The sequence below is a fragment of the Homo sapiens genome, chromosome 8, assembly GCF_000001405.40.
Source record: "Homo sapiens chromosome 8, GRCh38.p14 Primary Assembly".
NCBI classification, from domain to species: domain Eukaryota; kingdom Metazoa; phylum Chordata; class Mammalia; order Primates; family Hominidae; genus Homo; species Homo sapiens.
The window spans coordinates 21646440-21652213 of NC_000008.11; the positions used below are offsets into that span (position 1 = coordinate 21646440).

The following is a 5774-nucleotide window of genomic DNA, read 5'->3' on the forward strand; positions in this document are numbered from 1 at the left end:
GAGTCACTGCTCACACTGTTCTCCTCCCGGAATACCATTCTCCCTCCTGGTAGCCCGTCCACATCCTGCACTTAATGCAAAGGCCTCCATAGTCCCCCTGCTAAAACCCTGTGAGGACCCTATGCCAGTCATTGTGCATGAGACGGAAATGGATAAGCATGAGACACAGCCCATAAGAAGGTCATCATCAAGTGCTATAGATACACAGATAAAGAGACCATTGAACTCACCTAGAGGAATGCCACGGAGGCAGATGCTAGATGTTAAACGGTCATGGAAGACTTCCCAGAGGATGTGTTTCCTGACTGAGACGAGAAGGATACGTAGGAATCAGTCAGGAGGAAGCCGTGGGGGAGATTCTAGGATAGGAAACAGACTAAATGAAGACCCTGACATGTGGACAGCTGATGCAATAGGGACCCCCAAGCTGAAAGTTCTGCACTGAAGGAACAAGAAGCGGGAGGGAGGAAACAAAAGGGGGAAATGAGCTGGGAAATGCATAGAGAGCACTATGTGCTGTGCCTATGAACTCGACATGGCCCAGGACTTCCATAAAGCTGTCTCTCCCTTCCAAGCCCCCATGGGTCTGCTCAGGAGCTCTTCCTCAGCAAGCACCCACCTACCTGGGCTGGCTCATTAAAACAGCTCTGGGGTCTGGCAGGATTATCGGATTCACTCCTGTGTCTGCTGCTCTCACTTGGGACTAGCAGCTCCCTCCCTTCTACACTCTTGATGCCTGGCCTGGGCTCTCACAGAGTCATAGCTACCAGCAGCAGACTTCTTAATCCAGTCATTTCTCTTCTGGGCCTCCTCCAATCTGCCTTTCCTCCCCACCCTCCTCCAAAACTGTTCTTATCATGTCACCAGTCATCTCCCTGTTGTTGAATCCAAGGTGCAATTTCCAGTCCTCATTTTACATGACATGTCCACGACATTCAACACAGCACTGACCCTTCTCCCACGTACACTTTCTTCACCAGCCCTCCAGAACACCACAGTCTTCTCGCTGTTCTCCCATTTTGCTGGTTTGGCTCTCTCAGTCTCCTTTTCCAGTTCTTCTTCATCCAGAACTCTTAACATGGCCAAGCCTGGGAGCTCAGTGTTTGGCATCCTCTCTAATACTGTTTTAGTATTGTGTTCATGACAACCTAACTGCTGAACTCCCAATTCATCGATCCAATCATCTATATGAAATTTCACTTCGATGTTCAATATTTACCTCGAACTTAACATATCCCAACCTGAATTCCCCACAGCCCCACTCAGACACTGATACTCCCCATCTTCCTATCTCAGTGGATAGCAACTCTATCCTTCCAGTTGCTCAGGTCAAAGACCTTAGAACTATAAAGCTTCTAGAAAAAAATATGTAGAACAGTTTCAGGATCATGAGTTAAACAAAGATTTCTTCAACAGGATACAAAATCTACTAACCCGAAAGGAAATAAATAATAACATTACAAATAAGAGCTTCTGTCCACAAAAAAAATACCATTCAGAAAGTGACAGGCAATCCCAACTGAGAAATTATATTTGTGTTGTATATAATCAAAGGACTTGTGTCCAGAATACACAATGAAATCCTAAAAATCAACAAAAAAAAGGCAACCCAATTTTTGTTCAATGGAAAAAAGACATGAACAGGCATTTTTATAAAAGTTAACACTTCCAAATGGTCAATATACATGAAAATCTGCTCAATCTTTTTTCATCATCAGGGAATCAATAATTAGAACCATAGTGAAACACTGCCAGCAGAATTGCTAAAATACCAGCAGAATTGTTGAAATAAAAAGAACAGACAATACCAAATGTTACCAATTATGTATAGCAACTGGAATACTCATACATGTTGGCAGCAGGGTAATTAGGACAAATACTGTGAAAAAATGCTTAGCAGAAACCCATCTCTACTAAAAATACAAAATTAGCTGGATGTGGTGGCACACGCCTGTAATCCCAGCTACTCGGGAGGCTGTGGCAGGAGAATCACTTGAACGCGGGAGGCAGAGGTTGCAGTGAGCCAAGATAGTGCCACTGCACTCCAGCCTGGGCAACAGAGCAAGACTCCATCTCAAAAAAAAAAAAAAAAAAAACTAAACATATTTTTTCAGCTATGACCTAGCAATTCCATCCTTACACACCCTACATATGTGCAGCAAAACACACATACAAGAAGAATATTAACAGGATTATTATTTGTAATACCCAAAACCTGGAAACAATCCAAAATGCTCATCAGCATTAAATTGGATAAGAAAGCATTGTACATTCACACAATTCAATACTATACAACAATGAAGGAGAATGAATTACCATGACAAGCAACATTATGAATGAATGCCATAATCTCAAGTGAAAGAAGCCAGACACAAAAGAGTACATACTGTATTATTGCATTTATATCAAATTTAAGAGCATTAGCTGGGCGTGGTGGTGCACCCTTGTAGCCCCAGCTACACAGGAGGCTAAGGAAGGAGATTCACTTGAGCTCAGGAGTTTAAGGCTGCAGTGAGCCATGATCTCACCACTGCACTCCAGCCTGAGTGACAGAGCAAGACTCTGTCTCTAATAAATAAATAAATAAGGTTTAAAAGCAGACAAAACTAATCTATGGTTTTATAATTCAGATTGATGACAATCTTTGGGAAGAGGCACCAGGGGACTTCCAGAGAGCTGGCAGTGTTTCAATTTCTTGATCTGGGTGATGGTTACATGAATGTATTACTTTTGTGAAAGTTTATCATCTCCGAGCTCCTTAGAGGTAAAGCCTGAGATGGAGGTCCTTGTGGAATAGCTTATTGAGGGGATATGCTCAGGAGAAGTGGGGTGAGGAAAGTAGGCAGGCCAGGTATGTTAGGCCATTCTTGCACTGCTATTAAAAAAAATCTGAGACTGGTAATTTATAAGAAAAGAGGTTTAATTGGCTCATGGCTCTACAGGCTGTATGGGAGGCATAGCAGCATCTGCTTCTGGGAAGGCCTTGGGAAGCTTCCAATTATCGCAGAAGGCAAAGAGGGAGCAGGTGCATCACATGGTGAGAATGGGAACAAGAGGTGAGGGAGGGGAAGTACCAAACACTTTAAATGACCAGATCTCACAAGAACTCAGAGCAAGAGCTCACTTATCACTAAGGGGATGGCCCAAGCCATTCACAAGTGATGCACCCTCATGATCCAAACACCTCCAACATTGGGAATTGCAATTCAACACGAGGTTTGAGTGGGACATTCACACTATATTACTGCACCCCTGGCCCCCCCAAATACAAATGTCCTTCTCATATTACAATAATACAATTATGCCTTCCTAACAGTCCCCCAAAGTCTTAACTCATTCCAGCATTAACTCAAAAGTTCAAAGTCTCATCTGAGACAAGGTAAGCCTTTCCACCTATGAGCCTGTAATATCAAAAACAAGTTACTTACTTCCAAGCTACAATGGGAGTATAGGCATTGGGTAAACATTCCCATCTCAAAAGGAAGAAATTGGCCAAAAGAAAGGGGTTACCAGCCCTATGCAAGTTCAAAACCCAGGACAGCAGTCATTAAATCTTAAAGCTCCAAAATAATCTCCTTTAACTCCATGTTTCACATCTCAGGCACACTGGTGCAAGAAGGGGGCTTCCAAGGTCTTGGACAGCTCCACCTCTGTGACTTTGTAGGGTTCAGCCACCATCGCTTCCCTTACTGACTGGAGTTGAGTGCTTGCAGTTTTTCCAGGTGCAGGGTGCAAGCTGCTAGTGAATCCACCATTCTCAGGTCTGGAGAAAGTGGCCCCCTTCTCACAGCTCCACTAGGCAGTGCCCTATTGGGGACTCTGTGTGGAGGCTCCAACCCCACATTTCCCCTTTGCATTGCCCTGGTAGAGGTTCTCTGTGAAGGTTTCGCCTCTGTAGCAGGCTTCTGCCTGGGCACCCAGGCTGTCTCATGCATCCTCTGAAATCTAGGTGGAAGCTCCCAAGCCTCTTTCATTCTTGCATTTGTGCACCTACAGACTTAACACCACAACAAAGCTGTCAAGGCTCATGGCTTATACCCTCTGAAGCAATGTCCCAAGCTGTATCTGGGGCCCTGTGGCTGAAGCCAGAGTGGCCAGGATGCAGGGAGTGCTGTACTGAGGCTCCTCAGGGCAGCAGTGCCCCGGGCCTGGCCCAAAAAAACTAATCTCCCCTCCTAGGCCTCTGGCCCTGTGATGGGAGGGCCTGCCAGGAAGGTCTCTGAAATGGCTTCAAGGCTTTTCCCCCACTGTCTTGGATATTAGCACTTGGCTCTCTTTTAGTTATGCAAATATCTCTAGCAAGTGGTTGCTCCACAGCCTGCTTGAATTCCTCTCCTGAAAAAGCTTTTTTTTTCTCTCTCTCTGCCACATGGCCAGGCTGCAAATTTTCCAAACTTTTATGCTCTGCTTCCATTTTAAATATAAGTTTCCAATTTAACTCATTCCTTTGCTCTCACATTGAGCATAGATTGTTAGAAGCAGCCAGGTCACCTCTTGAACACTTTGCTGCTTAGAAGTGTCTTCCACCAGATACCCTAAATCATCACTATGAAGTTCAAACTTCCACAGATTTCTAGGGCATGGACAAAATCCAGCCAAGCTCATTGGTAAGGCATAACACATGTGACCTTTGCTCTAGTTCCCAATAAGTTCTTCATTTCTGTCTGAGACCTCATCAGCCTGGACTTCACTGTCCATATCACTGTCAGTATTTTGGTCACAACCATTTAACCAGTTTCTAATAAGTTCCAAACTTTCTCTCATTTTCCTGTCTCCTTCGGAACCTTCCAAACTCTTCCAACCTCTGCCTATTACCCAGCTCCAGAGTGACTTCCACATTTTCAGGTATCTTTATAGCAATTCTCCACTCCTCAGTACCAATTTTCTATGTTAAGCCATTCTTGGACTGCTATGAAGAAATACCTGAGACTGGGTAATTTATAAGAAAGGAGATTTAATTTTCTCATGGTTCTGCAGGATATATAGGAAACATAGTGCTTCTGGGGAGGCCTCAGGAAGCTTCCAATCATGGTAGAGGGCAATGAGAGCACAGGCACATCACATAGCCAGAACAGGAGCTAGAGAGAAAGTCAGGTGGCAGGACTGGTGTCATGCACCTTTAAATGACCAGATCTCGCAAGAACTCAGAGCGAGAGCTCACTTATCACCAAGGGGATAGCCCAAGCTATCGTTAGGGATCTGCCCTCATTATCTAAACAACTCCCACGAGTCCTCACCTCCAATATGGGGGATTACAACTCAACATAAGATTTGGGTGGGGCATCCAAACCATATCACCAGAAGAGAGCCTAGCAGGGATGTGGTCTTGCATAGAGATGGCACAGTTCCTTCTGTGGGTGCATATTTCAACCCAAAGTTTACTGGGGATAAAGGGGAGCCTTGGAGCCCATCTGAAATTCTCTCTTTCTCTCACACCACACACTCCACCAGCAAAACCTATCAACACCACCTTCAAAATACATCCAGAATCTGACCACTTCCACTGCTACACACAGGACTTCTGTCACCTGGCTCACTGTCTTAACTTCCTAACTGATCTCCCAGATTACATATTTGCCCCCTGTAGTCTAGTCCCAATACAACAGGCAAAAGGATCCCTTGAAATCATTATTCAGATCATACCACTGCTCAGCTCAGAATCCTCCAGTGACTCCATATTTCACTCAGAAAAAGGACACAAGTCTTTACAATGACCTGGAAGACCCTAGCACACGATCTTGCCCCCATCACATCTCCAACCTCATCTCTCCACT

The 5774-nt window shown here is 44.6% G+C and overlaps 1 annotated feature.

Moving 5' to 3' along the window:
- Positions 3447-4033: an enhancer, noted in NCBI's record as "NANOG-H3K27ac-H3K4me1 hESC enhancer chr8:21507398-21507984 (GRCh37/hg19 assembly coordinates)". NCBI's record gives its function as "activates a minimal SCP1, AML or CMV promoter by ChIP-STARR-seq in naive H9 embryonic stem cells {active_cell/tissue: H9 hESC(naive)}" and the evidence as "EXISTENCE:reporter gene assay evidence [ECO:0000049][PMID:30033119]".